The following is a 20,580-nucleotide window of genomic DNA, read 5'->3' as shown; positions in this document are numbered from 1 at the left end:
TGAGTGCCACATCAGGTTAAAAGAGATTAGGAAAGAACTCTGGAGTGTACCGGGGGGTTCACACCAGGACTCTTTTTACTGTGGGACACTAAGGGACACTTCTCAGTCTTAGATGTTTACCTTTCAATTAGAAATTAACCCCGTGTATATGTGTGTATTTTATCAGTAATGCATCATTATGAGTGATGACTTTCTTTTGTAATAGAAAACCTGCAAATAGTCACTACACCATGTACACCCTTACAGATGTATTAATTACTCTGTAATTTTTTTTTAGCAACCTAATTAAACTGGTAGTCAATTTAAAGCTGAAGTTAATGAAGATTTCCTTTGTTGTGAGATAGCACCTTCCCCCAACTCCATTAAAAAAAAAAGGAAGTTTAGATAAGAAAGAATCAGACCTCACTGAAGGACTTTACCCAAAAGGTGCAGAACCCAAGATTAGATACAGCGTAGTCACGGGTAAATCTTTTGCCACCATATTTTTACCTTTCCATGTGGAATAGTTTTCTATGAAGGACTTGTTATACACAAGGTTTGGCAACTTGATATTAAATCTTAAAACAGCATTCAGTTTTTCTAACTATTTCTAAAGCATTCTGAGTTCAATTAAATGCCAGTAGTACATTTAATTTATTTAAAAAGGGGAAAGTAAAATAAAATTAGAAAAAGTCCTATATATAAGTTTTGAAGAAGTCAAAAAACATTCCTGGAGGCAATAGTAAATAAATGGAACCATTCATTTGTAAATAAAAATTGGGAAATAGAATAATTTAAAATTGTTATTACTATAATTCAGTTATATTATGGAGTAATTATTTGTAGTGGGCCTGGGAATTTAATAATTTTTTAGTCAAGTGGTCGGAGGTTCATTTAACAGCCTTTAAAATTGAGGCAATTTGAGGTGAAATTTACATACAGCCAGATCCTCTCATCTTATATGTACAGTTTAATGAATTTTGACAAATGTATCCATAACCTATCCATCCTGCCAGTCAGGATATAGAATATTTCCATTAACCGGAAAGTTCCTTCATGCTCCTTCTAGTCAGTGCCCACCCCCACAACCAACCACTGTTCTGATTTCTTTTTCTTTTTTTTTTTTCTCTGTCACCCAGGCTGGAGTACAGTGGCCCAATCCTGGCTCACTGCAACCTCTGCCTCCCGGGTTCAAGCCATTCTCCTGCCTCAGCCTCCTGAGTAGCTGGGATTACAGGCACCTGCCATAACACCCAACTAATTTTTCTATTTTCAGTAGAGATGGGGTTTCACCATGTTGGCCAGGCTGGTCTCAAACTCCTGACCTCCAGTGATCCACCGGGCTCAGCCTCCCAAAGTGCTGAGATTACAGGTGTGCACCACTGCGCCTGGTCCACTGTTCTGATATCTATGATGAGTTTTTCTCTCTTGTCGAACTTCATATAAATGTAATAACACAATATATACTCCTTTAAAATACTACTACTTTCACTCAACATGTTTTTGAGCTTCATCCATGGTATCAGTGGTCATTTAAATTTTTGTATATACTGCAATATTTTTATTCATTCTCTTCTTGATGGACAGCTGAATTGTTTCCAGTTTTTGCCATTGCGTTATAGACATTCTCTACAAGTATGTGTGTGGAATTTGTTTTCTTTCGCTTGGGCAAATACCTAGGAGTAGAATTGCTGGATTAGAGGGAATTTGTGTGTTTATTTATTTTTTTTTTTTGAGACAGAGTCTCGCTCTGTCGCCCAGGCTGGAGTGCAGTGGCCAGTCTCGGCTCACTGCAAGCTCCGCCTCCCGGGTTCCACGCCATTCTCCTGTCTCAGCCTCCCGAGTAGCTGGGACAAGAGGCGCCCGCCACCACGCCCGGCTAATTTTTTATATATTTAGTAGAGACGGGGTTTCACCGTGTTAGCCAGGATGGTCTCGATCTCCTGACCTCGTGATCCGCCCGCCTCGGCCTCCCAAAGTGCTGGGGTTACAGGCATGAGCCACCACGCCCGGCCACATGTTTAATTTTATAAGGAATTACCAAAATGATTTCCAGAAAGGTTGGGTCATTTTATACTCCACTAACAAGATACGAGAGGGTCTTGTTCTGCCCCAGTTCTTGTTAGTATTTGAGTTTGTTGCTGCGTTAATTTTCGCCATTCTACTAGGCATGAAGTAGAGATTCCATTGTAGTTTTAGTGAGCATTTCTTTCATGGCTAATGATGATAACCACATTTTTGTGTGCTTACTGGTTATTCATATATCTTCATTTTTAAAGTGTTCAAATTTTTTGTCCAGTTTAATTGGATTGTTTGTCCTTTTTCTTATTCATTTGTAGGTTATTTATGTATTCTGGATAAAAGTTCAATTTCAGATATGCACGTTATGAATGAATACTTTCTCCCAGGCTGTGGTTTGCATTTTCATGTTCTTAACATTGCTTTTTGATGAGCAGACTTTTTAATTTTGATGAAGACCAGTGTATCAGTTTTTTTCATTTCTAGTTAAGGCTTTTTTTTTTTTTTTAATCTTAAGGGGTATTTGCTTACCTCATGGTCACAAAGATAGTCTTATATCTTTTTCTAGCAGCTTTATCGATTTTGCTTTTATACTTAGGTTTGTGTTCCATTTAGAATTAGTTGTTGTATATGGATGAGTAGAGATTGAGAGGTGTTTTTCCTGTAGTCTATCCAGTTCCACCACCATTTTTGAAAAGACTTTTCATTGAAATGCCTTGTGGCCTTTGTTGAAAGTGAATTGACTGCTCACATGTGGGCCAATTTTGTTTCATTGATCTATTTGTCTATCCCTAAGCCATCATGTTGTCTCGGTTACTGTAGCTTTATAGTAAGACTTGAATAAAGCAGTGTAAATTCTCCAACTTTGGCTTTCCCTCTCCCCCTTTATGCAAGATTGTTTTAGCTATTTTATTAGGACCTTTGCATTTCTGTGTAAATTTTTGAATCAACTTGTCAGTTTTTACTGCCTTCCCCCAAAGACTTTTGACTAGGAATATGTTGAATGTATAGATCAATTTTGAGAAAATAAATATCTTATTCATCCATTTGTTTTTATCTTCTTGCAGCAATGTTTTATAGTTCTCAGTACGGAGTAATTTATTTTGTTATATTTCAGAAAATTTATTTTTCAGTTGTTTTTTAGTATATAGAAGAACAAAGGATTTTTAAAAATACTGATGCTACATCCTGCCACCCCATAAGCCTTGTTAAATTCACTTACTAGCTCTAGAAGCTTTTGGTTGGGGGCAGTTTCTTACGATTTTCTGCGGTTACAATCATATTTGTGAACAGTTTTCCTTGATTTCTAGTCTTTCTGTCTTTTATTTCTGTTCCTTCCCTTACACTGGCTAGATCATGTAGTACAGTGTTGAGTTACAATGTTGAATACAAGTGGTAAGAAAGCAGACATCCTTGGCTGCTCTTTTTCATAAAGGGAGAGCATTCAATATGTCACATTATATATGATGCTAGCTGCACAATTTAGGAAGATCCCTTCTATTTCCAGTTTGCTAAGAGTTAGTGAAGAGTTTTGATCATGAATGGGTCTTGAGTTTTGTTATAAACTTTTTCTGCATCTGTTGAGATAGTTGTTATATGGGTTTATTGTGTTCGTGGAGGAATTAAATGGATTCAATTTTGAATGACACATCCTTGCATTCCTAGCATAAGCCCCTTGTGGTCATGATGTATTTTCCTTTTTGTATGTAGCTGGATTCTATTTGGCATTACCTTGTTAAGATTTTTTTCTTTGTTTTTGTGAAAAATTGATCTGTAATTTTCCTGTAATGTCAGGTTTTTGGTAAAAATATTATATTGGTCATTTAAAATAATTTGAGAAATATTCCTTCTTCCTCTGTTTTCTGAATGAGTTAATATAAAAGCATTTTTTTCTTCCTTAAATATAGAATTCACCAGTGAAACAATCTCTGCCTGGAATGTTCTTTGTGGAAGGTTTTAAATTACAAATTCAGTTTCTTTGACAGATATTGAGATATTCATATTTTATACTTATGTGTAAGTTTTGATAATTTATACTTTTAAAATAATTTCATTTTTATCTAAGTTGTCAAATCTTTCAGCAAAAATTTGCTTATAATTCTCCCTGTGCTTTTAACATCTGTGAAATCTGTTGTGATATCACCACTTTAATTCCTGATGTTGGTGATTTGTGTTTTCTCTTCATTTTTTTTTAATTTATTTTTTTCAGAGAACCAATTTTAGATTTTGTTGCTTTTTCTTTGCTATCTGTTGTCTGTTTCATTGACTGTACTTTTTATTCTTTTTATTTTGTCTTTTACCTGCTCTTCTTTTTTCATCTTCTTAGGATAACATTTATTTTAAACCTTTCTACTTTTCCAATATAAGCATAAATTTATAAATTTCCCTTTCAGCCATGCTTTAACTATATCTCACATGTTTTTGACATTGTTTTTGTTATCATACAGTTCAAAATAATTTTTAATGTATCTTGTCTTTTTTTGATGCTGGCATTTTTAGTTGTGTGTTTAATTTCCAAATATTTCAGGATTTTCTACAAATATTATTATTATTCTAATTTAATTCCATTGTGGTTAAAAAAAAAAGTCTGAACAGTTTTAATCCCTTGAAATTTATTGAGACTTGTTTTAAGGCCTAGCATATGGTTTTTAATGATGAATAATCTGTAGACTCAAGAAGAATGAGGAGTCTCAGTTACTGGTTGTCGAATAGATGCAGTTAGCTGATAGTGTTCAGATTGTGTCTTTTTTTTTATTTCTTCATCTACTTTTCAAGTAGTCATTGAGAGAGGGATGTTAAAATCTACAACAGTGATTGTCAATTTGTCTGTTTTTTCCTTTAATTCTGTCAGTTTTTACTTCAAGTTATTTTGAAGCTCTGGTGTTAGGTGTATGCATATGTATGGTTTTTTCCTTCCTGATGAACTGATGACCCTTTATTCTGGCAATACTTTCTCTGTGTCCACTACACATGCACACGCATAAATTCTACCATACCTTCTTCATGTTTACTGTTTGCATGGTATATCCTTTTAATCTGTTACTTTAAGCCTAGTTATGTCTTTATATTTAAAGTCCACCTCTTGTAAACAGTGTACAGTTGGTCTTTTTGTTTTTTTTTTTTAATTCTAGCCTGACAATCCCTGTCTTTTAAGTTCAGTGTTTAGCCTGCTAGCAGTTAACATAATTATTTGTATTTTGCGATATAAATCTACCATCTTGTTCTTTTTTCTGGTTTATTACGCCTGTTTTTTGTTGGTTTGTTGCTCCCTTCCTACTTTATTTTGTGTGAACTGAATATTTTTTGATACTCCATTTTATTTTCTCTACTGATATCTTACCTATACTTTTATTATTTTTTTATTTATTGCTTTCTCTCTGTAAGTATGATTCTTATCAGTATGGTTCCTTATCACACCCTAAGATGAATATTGTAACATTTAAAATTTAGAAACATTGGAAAAATATAGCTCCACTTGTGCTTTGTGCTATTGTCATATATTTTATTTTTGCCTGTTAGAAGCCTCGTATTAAAATGTTAATGTATCTTTGCTTAAACAGTGAGTTTTTATATAAAGAAATTAAGAGGAGGAAAAACCTTAGTTACTGTGGTGGGAAGAATAATGACCCCTGATATATGTCCATGGCTTAATCTCCATAATGTGTGAATATATGACCCTAGATGGCAGAGAGGAGTTAAGATTGCAGGTGGAATTAAGGCTGTTGTTAATCAGTTGACCCTCACCCAGAGATATTATCCTGGATTATCCAAGTAGGCCCAAAGTAATCATAAGTTTCTTAAAAGTGGAAGAGGTGACAGAAGAGGAAGAGTGTTTCAGTTTGAAACGGACTCAACCTGCTGTTGCTGGCTTTGAAAATAGAGGAAAAGGCCTTGAACGAATAAATGTGGGCAGCTCCAGAAGATGGAAAACACAAGAAAATGAATTTTCCCTTGAGTCTGCAGAAAGGAATGCAGCCATGCCAACACCTTGATTTTAGTCCAGTAGGACCTGTGTCAGATTTCTCAGCTGATACGGCCAAAGTGCAGTTAAAGTAGAAAAAAAAATTATATATATATATTTGTGTGGATAGTAGTTCATTTAGAAGTTGCTGGCCGGGGACGGTGGCTCATGCCTGTAATCCCAGCACTTTGGGAGGCCAAGGCAGGCCGATCACCTGAGTTCAGGAGTTCAAGACAAGCCTGGCCAACGTGGTGAAACCTCGTCTCTACTAAAAATACAAAAATTAGCTGGGTGTGGTGGTGGGTGCCTGTAATCCCAGCTACTTGGGAGGCTGGGTCAGGAGAATTGCTTGAAGCTGGGAGGCGGAGGTTGCAGTAAGCCGAGATGGCGCCATTGCACTTCAGCCTGGGCAACAGGAGTGAAACTCCATCTCAAAAAAAAAAAAAAAAAAAAAAAAAAAAGTTGCTCTGGTGGGTAAAAAGCAGATTGAGAAAGAGGAAGAAAGGAAGCAGGAAAGCAATTAGAAAACTTTGCAGTGGTCCACGTGAGACGCTTTTAGCTCAGAAAAGATGGTGGTGGTGAAATGAAGAGAGTAGATGAATATACATTTTGGAAGTACAGCTGACAGATTTGTAGTGTGAGCGGTATTATGGATGACATTGAGTTTCTGAGCAGATGCACTGAGTGGGTAGCATCGTGTTTTACTGAGATGGGAAGGGATGGGCCAGGAATGTTTTGGGGGGGAGAGAATCAAGATTTCTCTTTGTTAGGTTTGAGATGCCAAGTAGGCAGTTAATGGAAATGTCAGGTGGACAACTGAATACAAATGTTGTAACTCTTAAGGATGATGGATTACTTCATATAGCACAAACTGAGCTCTGTCCTTTATTTGAGTTATGACTGTTAAAAGCCTGAGATTGATTGACAATTAATAAAATACCTGCTGGGTGCTGTTGTTTGCATTCTGGATCTTCAGCTTATTACCTGATCCCCATGAGCTTCCATCTCTACAACACTGATGGTACCACGCTCTTAGGATTTTGCTGAGCATTAAGTGAGGTTGTGCCTGTGTCACAGCCTTTATTAGTAAGTTCCCCCAGGTCTTAGTTATTCTCTAGAAACACTGCAAGGTATTTGTGTTTTTCCTTGAGATGAGGAGGTGGTGAGAAATGAAGAGAGTAGATAAGGCAACTCACAAAAAGTCCTTAGAGACTTGAATTTGGTTGTGTGAGGATTTAGGAACCACTACAGCTTTCTTTAAAAGTGGAAATATAAGCTGGGTATGGTGGCTTGTATGTGTAGTCCCAGCTACTTGGGAGGCTGAGGAGGGATGATTGCTTGAGGCCAGGAGTTCAAGACCAGCCTGGGCAACATAGTGAGACCGCATCCCTTAGAAAAAGTGGAAACATGGCTAGGGCAGTATTCAAGGAAAGCAATCAAAATTATCCTTCATATATATATACATATACACACACACACACATATCTTCAGATATAATATATACATAATATAGAAAATATTTTAAAATATATGTACTATATAAAAATATTTATGTATATTTGGCATTTCAGATGTACAGTAAACCACTGATCTCTCCATTACTCCCATATTCTTAAATTCCTACTGCAGTATATGTAAATTAGGTATCCATTAAGGGTCAGAAGGTTATGATACACCATTATTCATTTTTGTATTTTATCCGCAACAAATAGCTAGAAAATCAATTCATTATTAAATACCAGAGACATAAGAGTAGAGTAGTATAAAATACAAAACTGTTTTCTACTAAAAAGCGTTAAGCTGAAATATGATTAGATCTCTGTTAAAACATTGGGAAGTACAGTTCTATTTAGTACATTTTTCAGCTACAGTTGATGTTTATCACTAGGAAAAAAGCTTTGTTGAACCTGCTTTTCTACATGGGTGAACCTTTACTCAGTGGGATATTTGGAAGAGGTATTAAAGCGTAAACAATGGTTTTGGTAGGGTCAAACCTGGGTGCAAGAGAAGGTTCGGGCTCCCTCTGGTGGTGATAATATCTTACTATTTTTATTGAAAAGTACTGATACTGTGGAAGATGAGGCCGTCAGGGCGATGTTCTCAGTTACACACAAAACATATAAGTCTGGTGTGTTAGGTGAAGATATAACATGAACCCCCACCCCCAACCCGGAAGTGCCTCCTGAGCGATCTTCAGCAGCTAGGTTGTTCATCTCAGTGGCTTCCTAAGGCTTCTTTGATTTGGAGGGGGAGGGAGAAGAGTAAGACATCTCCTAATTAGATTTATTTTGACCCGTCAGGAATGTGACAAAGAATGACTGGGATATTTGTTAGGTGCTTTGAATTCCTTAAATAAAGATGTTTTATAAATGTACATATTTTCCACTCTAAATTTCCTTTCAGAGGAGTGATCAGTATAAAGATGGACAAAAAAAGAGTAAAATACTGCCATATTTTTTAGTATAATATACAAAATATAGTAAATATATTACTGGATAATGTATTGCCCATATTATGTTTTTAGATAATATAGTTGAATAGTTTGGGGGATATTTAAAATGATTATATGCAGTGATGGAGTTTAAATCCTTTGTAGATTTATGATATGTTTGTTTCAGGGTTTTGGAATAAGGGAAAGTGATTTGTGAATGATGTGTCATCAAACTAATTTCTCTGATTAATTTAAAGTGGAATATTTGTATGTGGAGGAGGGATGCTTTTGAAAAATACTGGACTAATACTGGGCTGCATGTTTATTTTCTATATATGTCGTACCTATGGACAACTCAGGGTTCTATTTCCTTTCCTTAGGAATTTATTTGGAGAGTTTAAGTAAAACATCTGCATAATTAAGTGCCTCAAATTAAGAAAAATGACTGCTGGAATTCCACAGCTTTCTAAATCCACAAGATAACACTGAGCTGCAGATCATGAATTCATCCTAAATTATTGATTAAATGTGTGTGCAGATGTAAGCATAAAAATAATACATTCCTCATTAACATGCAGCTTGTGTTGACATTTGTGAAATCACAGGTGGTCTAGCAATCAGAGGAAATTAGCATTTTTTAAGCTTTGGAACTTTTCCTCGCCTTAAAACTGTTTGAAACTATTGGCCACGTCAGAACTTAGTTTAGTTAAAAATAGGACTTTTATGGTGCTATAGAATGTAAAAATAAAGACTAAACTCTTCAATCTTTTAGGACCAATGTTAATGGCTAGAAGGTCTGATGATCTCGTTCAGATTAAGATAACATTTCTCAGGCTAGGCACAGTGGCTCACGCCTGCAATCCCAGCATTTTGGGAGGCTGAGGTGGGCAGATTATGAGGTCAAGAGATGGAGACCATCCTGGCCAACATGGTGAAACCCCGTCTCTACTAAAAATACAAAAATTAGCTGGGCAGGGTGGCACATGCCTGCAATCCCAGCTACTCGGGAGGCTGAGGCAGGAGAATCGCTTGAATCCAGGAGGCGGAGCTTGCAGTGAGCCGAGATGGGGCCACTGCACTCCAGCCTGGGTGACAGAGCGAGACTCTCTCTCAAAAAAAAAAAAAAACAAAGATAACATTTCTCTAATTCTTCTGAGATGGGAATGAAAAGCATTTCCTTTGGAATTACAATAATAGTATATTTAAAAAAAAAAACATGAAAACACTCTTATTTTTTTTCCTGATAACTAAGGTAAGAAATTCTCCTGGCTTAAAAAGATCAGAAAATATAGAAAAGCATAAACAAGAAAATAAAATTACCTGCAATACCAGCACTCAGACATATCCACTGTTATCATGTTATCATTTTTTTAATGTATTGTTCATAGTCACTATCTCTCACCACTAGGCCTGATATCATGGGGTGTATGTCCTCCTGGCCACTCATAACTTTCCTCATTCTCCCCGTGTCCACCCTGAAAGCATTCAGCTTTGAATTGCATGCCCTCACATGATACCACTCACCACTTCCGGTAGTTGTCATCAACTGCACCCTCGGTCATTTTCCCATTCTTTTAAGATTTAGGTTCTGCTGTACTGTCACTCTCTCCAGCACTATTCTAGTACTCACATAATGGATCTTTACAAAAACTTGGCTTCCACCACCCAACCATAGCCACTTAATTCCTAGGTCATACCCTTAATCAGTGGTTTTCCAACTGGGGGCAGTTTTGCTTCCAAGGGGACATTGTCTACAGACATTTTTGGCTGTCACACTGGGGAGGTGCTACTGGCGTCTAGTTGGGTAGAGGCCACAGGTGCTACTGATCATGCTACAATGCACAGGACAGCCTCCTGCAGCACAGAATTAGTATAGAAAATGTCAGTAGGGCCAAGGGTGGGAAACCCTGCTGTAACTAGAAGAAGCTGATATGCCCACTATCATACCTTCCTGAAATAAGAATAATGATCAGTAGAATAGCTTCCTAACCTGGATATTATGTAATACTTCAGACTCTTGGTTGACTGTAAGAAATAGATCCTGGGGTATAGTCACAGCTGAACCATCATTCTGTCAGAATGGAATAACACCTTAGTGCTTTTTAATATTAGCACTTTCTCTGACAGTATCATTTAATGGGGTTAACATATTATCTAGCAAATCAGACCAACCAAATGTAGGAAAGGCAGAATACATACAGGACACCAAGGAAGCAGTTTCTATGATTTGTAAGAAACATACAATTTTTTTTTTTTTTTTTTGGCACAGGGTCTCATTCTGTTGCCCAGACTGGAGTGCAGTGGTGTGATCTCGGCTTACTGCAACCTCCACCTCCCAGGTTCAAGTGATTCTCATGCCTCAACCTCCTAAGCAGTTGGAATTACAGGCACATGCCACCATGCCCAGCTAATTTTTTGTATTTTTAGTAGAGATGGGGTTTTGCCATGTTGGCCAGGCTGGTTTTGAACTCCTGACCTCAAGTGATCCACCCACCTTGGCCTCCCAAAGTGCTGGGATTACAGGCTTGAGCCACTATGCCCAGCCTAATCTTATTCTTAAAACAAAGAACATCTACATTTAACAGTACCATATTTGGTCTGAGACCAAGATTTCATCCCTTTTTCCTTTTCATGTTTTGTCTCATCCTGAGTTGATTAAAAGGTCTTTATAGACAGATCACTTTTTTCCCCCTGCACAAAGGAAAAACCATTTGGTCAACTCAGTGGCTGGAAAGTAGCTTAGTGTATTCTGTAGGTTCAGGAAGCCCTACCAGAATACCGTAGTGGTGCCCTTATGAATCGAGAAGAATGAAAGCATTAATGATATCATACACTAAAAGCATTATTGAGCCCCCCAAATGCTAATACAGATTAATCACATACAATTCCATAGGATCAGTGGCTTTTAATTATTTGTTCTTTCTTTTGGCCTATTACTAGATCTCTGTTCTCTTAAAGGGACTGATGAAAGCTTATTTTCTCACTATGAAGAAAAATCATTCTGTGTCAACAATTGCAGTGATAATAGATTTCACTGCATTCATTGCTACAATGGGAGAAATAGTTGATACTACAGAGAGTACAAACACTTGAATGCTGACTGAATTTTTCATTCTAGGAAGTTAAAGATAGTGGTATAATATCTGCTCACATACTTCTTGGAGAAAAGATTTGCAGAGTCAATAGTTAGGAATGGAGAAGGGCGTAAAGAGGGTGGCAGCATGAGCCAAGGCCACTGATAGTCCTAGCATTTGCTGGCCCAAGTTTTGTTGCAGAAATGCAACACCAGATGTAACATGAAAGATGGGTCATTGGTACAGTCTGCCATCAGGGCCATCCCACCAGTTGCTTTTTCCTTTTGGTGGTTGCTTCTCCTAGGTAATCACAGATCATGTTGGAACTTTTTAGAATCAGGATGAGTTCTTCTTTTACCATTACTTACAAATATCTGGAAAGATCAGAAACAGACGCCCTGAATCATTCTTCGTTGTACAGTTACCACTGGATGGGGAGGCATATGACCCTGCAGTTCTGAGGTCTTTCATTAAATGAAGCTCTGGTTATGACTGGGTTTTATGATTTTCCTTCAGCGGCAGTAGCAGCAATTTAGCTGCTGGTGTCTTTATACTAACCATCACAATGGCTCTCCCTGTCCAGTCTTTCCTTGTCTGTTCTCAGCTGGCAAATAAGAACTTCACAGTCTGAAAACTATTAAAGTTAGTTATTAGGTTGTGAGATGAAGCATGTTTGCAGAGATGAATGTTGTTTTCTCTATTTATAGGAGAAGCCCCGATATCCAAGCAAAAGAAGAGTTATGGAAGCACATTCAGTGAGTAATAGTTTTCTTTCTTATTGTTTTAAAACCCATGTAGTTTTAATGCAATTGCAAGGAAGACTCCTGATACTGAGAGGCAACTTCAGCGTGATGCCTGCCAAAGCCATTGCCACTGTGTGTGGCAGGCACATGGAGCACATGGTGGTGGTGCCTTAACCATATCAACACCTATCTACAGGCAACCCTGACACCTCCTCACCTTGGGTCATTTAGTCTCGCCTCTAAATGGACCTCAGACAGGCCAATAGTTTACAAATAAATACCAAGGAAAACAAATCCAGAAGAAAAAAGACACCTACCACAGGGGAGAGAAGCAGATCTTTTATAGGGAAATGGGGAATGACTGGAGTCTGAATGTAGAAGAATTGAAAGAAGGCAAAAGAGCTACAGAAAAGGTTTTACCCCTCCTATTTTTCCTTGAACACGTTTAGTTTTTATAAATTTTCATTAGTTTTACTAACACTGTTTTGGGACAAGATTAGAAAGGGAAAACTCACCTGCCGATTGTGAAAGATACTAGCATTTATACCAGCACCACAACTATCATTTTCTTGCATATTCCTTTACAGAAAAGAACTTGTGGATCCATCCGGATTGTCCGAAGAACAATTAAAAGAGATTCCATACACTAAAATAGAGTGAGTGCCTTTCAGAATCTTCTCACCAAAGCTTTATTAGTGCTTGTGAGTAATCCATTCTAATTCTTCAATTGTGTTCCAGACAGTGCTTTAATTTGTCTTTACATTTTAAACAAAACTAGGTGACAGTAGCGAAAGAGGAAGAAAAGTGTGCATTAAAGCTACTTATTCTACACTATAATCACTATCATCTCTTATTAGCCACCTCTTTGTACTTGGTAGGTACAAGGGGGCTTTTCCTGATTAATGTCAGTTTTAAAATAAATTCTTTTCTGAGATTCTCACTGATAAAGTTTTTTATCCATTATTTTACACCAAGAGAATTATGTTGACCATAAAACTCTCATATGAGCCCAGTCCCATCCCTGGCATAGAAGCAGCACATTGAGCAGGCTTCGTGAAAGCACAGCAGGAGTCCTTAGTCACCAGTGTAAGAGGAACCGTACCTGTTGACTGTGTTTTCTGCCTTACCAGTACTTGGTTAAGAGAAAGTGAGTGCCTGCTTTGTTTCCCTTCTGTAGCTATGCTGCTTTCCCACCACAGTTAAATAGCAGGTTGGTACACCCCAGCCACCCTCCGTCCCCATCTTTAGGTCAAAGATTTGAATTATTTATTTGTTTTTAATTATTAAGGTATAATTGACAAATAAAAATTGTGTATGTTTATACAATCTGATGTTTTGATATATGTATACATTGTGAAATGCTGAAGTCAAGCTAATGTATCTATCACCTCACATACTTTTTTTTTATGGAGAGAACACTTAAGATCTACTTTCTTAGCAATTTTCAAGTAAAGACTGAATTCTTAATGTTGGTAGCTAGGACAGCGGACCAACTTTTTCCATTAGGAATGCCATTTTGTCTGCATTATAGATTTTGTTTACTTCCACGCTACTAAGAAGAATTCCACGGTAAGGAATAATTTCATTTAAAATTTGGTTGTTAAAAAATATACATACATACATATATATATGTATACACACAAATACTTTAAAGAGCTTCATTTTCACATATTGTCAAGGGAGCATTTTTCTTGTGAAATTTAAGTCACTCAGGCTTTCAAACCCTAGGAGTCAAGTTCTTTTTAAAACTCTGAAAGTTGTTATTCTTTTGCGGTTTCAATATTAAGAACTCCTACTTTTCCTTTTCTGACTTTGGGTGTTTGTTTTCATGTTTCTTGGTTGCTTGTTCAGGACACAAGGTGACCCAATCCGCATCAGGCATTCTCATTCGCCACGAAGTTACCGCCAGTATCGCAGGTCCCAGTGTTCAGATGGGGAGCGATCAGTTCTCTCGGAAGTGAAGTAAGTGGGCAGGCCAGAGTACACCATCACCATCATGGCTCCAAAACAGTGCAGTCTAAAAGAACTTTACTTGCTGATGGAAATGTTTTATATCTACACTGTAGTTCTCTTCCAACTTAATTTATGATTCTAGATACTGTTCCAGTCACTAATTCTAAAACTCATTCTCTGCAGTTCAAAAACAGATCTTGTACCACCACTTCCGGTGACCCGTTCTTCGGATGCTCAGGGTTCTGGGGATGCTACAGTTCATCAGGTTAGTAATAGTAAGGTTTGAAGAAGGTGTTGTATTGATGACAATTTTGAGAAGCATTTTGTGCTTTGGAAAGTTCCTTTAGGGAGGTAGGGCAGGCAATGAAACCTTAATGTCATTCTGAGATTCTGTATTTTAAAAGAACGTGGAGAAATCATGGAAGGAAAAGTGCATGATCAAGAACCCTGGCACAATCTGGGAAGAGTTAGGAATAACAGGTAGAGGTAGTGGGGCACAGCTGAGGATAACAAAGATTGTAAGACCATTTGGAGCCAGAATAAAGAAACAATTGTTTCACTAATTAAAAAGCGATAGTAACAACAGGTATTTTGAGCCAGAGAAACAAAGAGAAAGTGATAGACTCACTTTGTTAACTGATAGCAGACAGAAGAATTACTTAAGTCCTGTTTTATTTCTGTCTTCTCCATCACAATTACCTTAATTCTGGAAATGTTTTTAAAATGTAGTTAAAAAGGAATTCAGACAGAACACCTAGCTGCCTTAACAAAATCACTTTAACACTTAGCTGAATTTGATAATCAGGGGAACACTGTAGCAAACATAGTTCAGGAAGAGTTTCATACCGCCTCTCATGATGTATTTTTTAATAAGATGGGAAAAAATGTGGGCTGAATAAGACAGTTAGATGGATTTATATCTGGTTAAACAACCACTGTAAAACTCTAAAAACAAAGTTGATGTGTCTGATGGATCAGGGTCAGCCCGTTGTTCGTCGTGTTGTGGTTTTCAGTGTCATTTGATCATGGATCCTTTAGAAAAGCCAGTTGTATCTACTGACTCTCATCCCATAAAAATGCATCTAAGCACATGTACAGTTTTTGGACCACGTAAGAAGCCTGACACCAGCAGTATCTATCATGTATGGCCCTTTTTGTTTTTATCAATGACTGGAGCAAGGCCTGTGCTAATTTAGGTTAGGTTCCCTAGATAGATTCTGAAATGGAGATCTGCATGCAGGAAGCTTGTTGGAAAGTGCCCACGGGATCCATAGTTGTTGGGGAGAAAGTCAAAGACGGGTTTGGGCAGAGGCAAGAGCTGATCCGCACAGGGAGCTCTAGAGCTGAGATGGCTCTTCAAATTCATTCTACTTTGGGACAAGGGGGTTGAACTTTTACACATTCACACTCACCCCATAGAAGTCACTGGGTAAGGGATGTTCTGGGAAGGGGGATTTCTCTTCAACTGAGGGCAGTTCCTGGGGAGGGGCTCAGTTTTGAGCTACACGGCAGGCAACACTCCCAGCAGCTAGAGAATGAATGCCTCAGTCTAGAATGGCGATCTGCATGGTAAACGCAGCTTCTACTATAATCTGCATAATATTTGATGAGATCAGCCTGGGAGAGCTAATAGGTTGTCCAAATAGACGATTGGTTTAAAGTTGACAGTACTTTTTCAAAATTATATTCATGATTAAGTTTAGGCTTTGCATTCTGACTGACCTGAATCATTTGTGTTTCATCTCTGTGTACTACTTGTGTAACTTTAATACTGCTAAACTTCTAAGCCTCAATTTTTATACAGTGTAGATAACCTACCTCCTAGGGTTATTGTGATGATTAATAAGCAGTTATCTTTCGGTGTTTTTTTTTTTTTTTTTGTCTTAAATTTTAGTTGGTTTCAATACAAGTAGTAATTTTTATTTCCACTCAGGAATTAAAAAAACTTACACATATTCTAAGTTGGAAGAATAGCTTTCACTTTGCGGGATACAAGAACTCACATGCATCTTCTGATCAGTGGCACTGATTCTAAGCCTGTCTCCAGGACACTCTTGATTTTGAATTCAGTAAATATCCAGTGAGCCCATCTAAGGAGTGTTGAGCACTGGTCTGAGCAATCAGCAAACCATGGCCTAAGGGCCAAATCTAGTCTGCTGCCTTTGTACAGCCCAGAAGCCAGTAATGGTTTTTACACCTTTAAAGGGTTGTTTAAAAGCAAAACAAAATAACAGTAACACGTGACACAAACAGGATGTAGTTTACAGTCTGGCTCTTTATAAAAAAGTTTGATGACCCTAGCCTAGACCTGGAGGCATAAAAGTAAACAGTTAAAACAAATAGGAGTATGCATTACAAAGAAATGCCTGAGCTAGAGAAGCAACAAAGTGACCTCACTTTACATGTTTAGGGTGGTCAGAGGCCATCTCAGAGAGTGGCATTTAAAGCTGAGACCTGGCAGGTGAGGAGCTAGCCATGTGAGTGGCTGCAAGGCTGATGTAATCAGAGTGAGGAATGTAGGGAAAATGCTGACTCTGGAGAGGGCCTGGGTATTTGAGGAGCTGAAAGACCAACATGCAGTGAGCTTGAGGGGAAAGGCAGATAACACAGGGACTTAAAGGCTGTGGGAAGCGTTTGGATCTTACTGTTTTATTCCAAGTGCTAAAAGGAAGCCACTCATCTGGCTGCCAAGCGGAGAAGGGGCTGGAGTGACCAGTGGAAGCTGGAAAGGTACATTTTTAAGGTACAACTTTAAGTTCTAATTTCCACCACAATGCCACCAGAGTTCTGGCAGTGACCTGCCTTACACCTCACCTTGCCTTTTCACGCAAAGGCTGCTAAGAATGGGGAAGAATAGCAACTTAATTTCTTAAGGTCTGCAGAGTGGACAGATTCAATCCTAGACAAACTTACAACATAGTACTTATTTCAGGTCCTCTCCTAGCACTTTTTTTCTGGTAATTCTTCTGCTGTATTCTCCTCTCACATTCACTGGTGTTCTCTTCCCACCTCTGGCTATCTAGAAATCTTCCATCCCAAATAGATGGGTTCATGCTTCCCATGATAGGCAGAATAATTATTCCATCAGTGCTTTTTGAATGTCAGTAAAACAAATTAAGCCAGTCATAGGAACAGATTAAAGGTAGCTGCATTTTAAGAGGGATTTATTTATTTTTAGCTCAAACAAATCTCAAAATAGATTGGGACGGTATAGCCCATTATTTATGGGAATATACATTTGGGGAAGGAAATATGCTTGCCAGCCTGATACACTGACAATGTTAGACCATCCTTGGAAGTAAGAGGAGGAGGGGTTCGCATAAGAAGTAGTAGTTGTGAGTTAGTGTCATTCTCAGAGCCTCCACCAGTGATGATGGGAGATGTGTAAAACCTAAGTTTTACAAACTAGTGGATGTGGTGCCCAGGCTCTGGTAATGAGCTGCCCTGTTTCTCCGTATGAGACAAGTGATAGGGGCTCACAAGACATTGTTCCATTCATTGACTACTGAAAATATAATCAGGGGATTATAAATTGCCTCCAAGTCTCCATCACTATCCTGTTTGGAAGAGTGAGGTTGAGAGCCTGGTTTGGGAATTGTTAACAAAAGTAATGACACTGATTTGGGTGAATTATGCCTAATATTCATGAATAAAATCGTTATGCATGTAAATGTCAGACTAACTTTGTATATTAAAGTTTAAATACAAACTTTATTTTGCACAGCTATTTAGAGGGAACATTTATTGAATAGCTTTTGGTATTATGAAACTTTTGAATTAACTCAGTATCTTAAATTTAAGAGCAGCTTGGTTTCTGATGTAATTAAAATACTTCATTTGGCTGTTTTCTTCTGAATCTTTCTACATTTTTCAAATATATTTTAGAGAAGAAATGGGTCTAAAGATAGCCTGATGGAAGAAAAACCTCAGACATCTACAAACAACCTGGCTGGAAAACACACAGCAAAAACAATAAAAACTATACAAGCTTCCCGCCTCAAGACAGAGACTTGATCCTGATGAAGGGTCAAGGGTAGGGGTGGGAAGGTTGTGTGCGCCACTGGTACTTTTGAAACTGTGAAATAGGTATCTTAATTCAAATCTCAGACCTGCAAGTATTTCTTCAGCATGAGAAAATACATTATCTTTTGCTTCTTTTTTTTTTTTTTTTTGAGATGTTATCACTCTGTCGCCCAGGCTGGAGTGCAGCGGCACCGTGTCAGCTCACCGCAGCCTCCACTTACTGGGTTAAGCGATTCTCCTGTCTCAGGCTCCCGAGCAGCTGGGATTACAGGCGTGCACCACAACACCCGGCTAATTCTTTTTGTATTTTTAGTAGAGACAGGGCTTTGCCATGTTGGAGGCTGGTCTCGAACTCCTGACCTCAAGTGATCCGCCTGCCTCAGCCTCCCAAAGTGCTGGGATTATAGGCCATGGTTTAACTACAGCACAGTTGTGCTGAAGGACCTTTTTGTTTTAACTGGAAGAATAAGTATTTTGTAAAAATTCACTTGATACCACATTTTCATTTCTGGAACAGGATAGCAATCATTCATTTCTATCTTGTGTCTGTGTCCACCACAACCAAGACCAGATGCATCTGATGAACATTCTGGAATTCTGAACTGCAGCTAGCCTGCTGTGCAATAGTACAAGTGGGAGGACGTCTTCCCAGGGCTGGGCTGGTTCTCAACTAGTGCCCAGATGCAAAAGGACTGAGGCATCACTTTCAGACTGCATATATTTTTATTCATATAAAGTTCTTTATAATACTTTATTTTGTGGTGTTAAGTTCCACCAGTTATTTACAAATGATGTAAAAAGCTTTAAGTGTTGTTAATTTCTAAAGTGTTCTTGCGTTTTCAGAAGTGTAAGTGGATCTCAGTTGATCTGTCACCCCAAACCTCAAATGATCCATCCACCCTGCTTGGCCATCTAATTCACCTGCTCTCCCCAGTGACTATTTTGTACCTTTCCTCTCCATAGATGACTTTGCAATCTACAGGGAAAATACTTATGCAGGACATCTTATATCTCCCCCTTACCACGTACAGTTCTCTCCACAGCTGCCAGCAGCCCTAACCTTTTTGTCTCTCCACCTGTGCTTTGGATGCTCTTCTCCCAGCCTTTTCAGGATCTTTGTCTGTCCTCCTATATTAATGTATTCAATTATTCTCTCAGCTAGATCCTTGCTACTTGGTTTTAAATTTAAGACTAAGATTAAACAAAACTATCTTTCACAACCACAAACCCCCTCCCGCCAAGCAACTAAGATTTTCCTCTCATTCTCAGCCAGTTTTCTTGCAAGCAGTATCTTTAGTCATTGCCCTCAATTCATCTAATCCCTATCTTAAGCTATCTCTAACATGGATCTTTCCCTCTACTCCACTAATATCAATCACTGTGTTACTTAATCCCAGGGAGAATTTTTAGGACATTCTTTTGCTTCTTTAATATAATCCTATTTTGCTCCTACCACTGACCATCCTTTCTGGCTTATCATGCTTTACCTTGCCATTAATTAGTGGAGTTTCTCAAACTTCAGACCCTAGGCCCTCTTCCTCTACCACCAGCAGATCTCATTTATACCCATGGCCTTAAGGTTTATTTCTGTAGTTTAGACTACTGAGTAATGTGCTACTGCAAAAAGACCATTTGGGTTTCTCAAAGGTAATTTAAAAATTCAGCTGTTTAAATGCTGCTCCCCAGCTGAATCTAGGGTCATTATGCTCATCAGTGTGCAAGCTGGACACCTAGCAGTTATGGACACCTCCACTATTACCACGTCTAGTTGGCTCTGTCATCCAACTATAAACGATCTTATTTCACTAATTTTACTAGTCCAAGCTGGTCTCTTGTCTAGACAACAATAAGCAACCTAGTTCAACTACCTTTTCTTGCAAATCTGATTTTCCACCATGGATTTATCTTGCTTTAATAAAGCCAGAGGGAGCCTGAAGTGGTCTGGCTTCTTTACCTACCTCTTCAGCCTCATTTTGTAACACTCTCACCTCCCATAATAGCCATCTTACAAGCCTCAGTAAGGACTCAGTTCTAAAACAGGGCACTGAAGAGGGAAAGCAGCCAAAACTGTCTCAAAAGTAAGTGGACTAACGGTATCTTTTTTCTAGCCCAAGCCTCTGTATATGTCATTCCCCCAGTTTTGCCTTGTGAAAAATATGACACATACCTTTAGTCTCAACTCTTTCTCAGGTTTCCCTAAGAAAATCCTATCACGGAACTCATCTCATAGTGAAGTTTTACATTTGTGATGACATTCCCTCCACTTATCTATGTTTCCAAAGGGAAGAACTGTGTTGTGCTCATCATCGTGTTCTCAGCTCCTAGTACAGTGCTTTCAATAAATTTTTTGAATACCTCTATACATTATTTGTCGTTTCCTGCAAAGCAAAGGCAGAA

At 38.2% G+C, this 20,580-nt stretch overlaps 1 protein-coding gene across 14 annotated transcripts in view, besides 2 other annotated features; it reads left to right on the top strand.

Annotated features, from left to right (window-relative positions):
* Positions 1 to 20,580, top strand: part of EPB41L4A (erythrocyte membrane protein band 4.1 like 4A) — a 278,107-nt gene that overhangs the window by 236,772 nt on the left and 20,755 nt on the right. For 7 of the 14 annotated variants that reach the window (XR_001742173.3, XM_011543531.4, XM_047417471.1 and 4 more), the window contains 4 exons: positions 12,172 to 12,219; positions 12,795 to 12,863; positions 14,059 to 14,169; positions 14,344 to 14,425. Coding sequence is in view for 12 of the 14 variants with exons in the window: in XM_011543531.4 (XP_011541833.1) it covers positions 12,172 to 12,219; positions 12,795 to 12,863; positions 14,059 to 14,169; positions 14,344 to 14,425 (310 nt within the window). In the remaining 2 variants the exon portion in view is untranslated. Of the gene's footprint in view, positions 1 to 12,171; positions 12,220 to 12,794; positions 12,909 to 14,058; positions 14,170 to 14,343; positions 14,426 to 18,045; positions 20,546 to 20,580 lie in introns of those variants that run through there. The other 7 variants (XM_047417476.1, XM_047417474.1, XM_047417475.1 and 4 more) reach the window with 2 other exon arrangements.
* Positions 16,345 to 17,022: an enhancer, noted in NCBI's record as "OCT4-NANOG-H3K27ac hESC enhancer chr5:111501839-111502516 (GRCh37/hg19 assembly coordinates)". NCBI's record gives its function as "activates a minimal SCP1, AML or CMV promoter by ChIP-STARR-seq in naive and primed H9 embryonic stem cells {active_cell/tissue: H9 hESC(naive and primed)}" and the evidence as "EXISTENCE:reporter gene assay evidence [ECO:0000049][PMID:30033119]".
* Positions 17,023 to 17,700: an enhancer, noted in NCBI's record as "H3K27ac hESC enhancer chr5:111501161-111501838 (GRCh37/hg19 assembly coordinates)". NCBI's record gives its function as "activates a minimal SCP1, AML or CMV promoter by ChIP-STARR-seq in naive H9 embryonic stem cells {active_cell/tissue: H9 hESC(naive)}" and the evidence as "EXISTENCE:reporter gene assay evidence [ECO:0000049][PMID:30033119]".

This window comes from Homo sapiens, chromosome 5, assembly GCF_000001405.40.
Source record: "Homo sapiens chromosome 5, GRCh38.p14 Primary Assembly".
Classification (NCBI taxonomy): domain Eukaryota; kingdom Metazoa; phylum Chordata; class Mammalia; order Primates; family Hominidae; genus Homo; species Homo sapiens.
The sequence above is the reverse complement of the archived record's forward strand: the minus strand, read 5'-3'. Positions and strand labels throughout refer to the sequence as shown.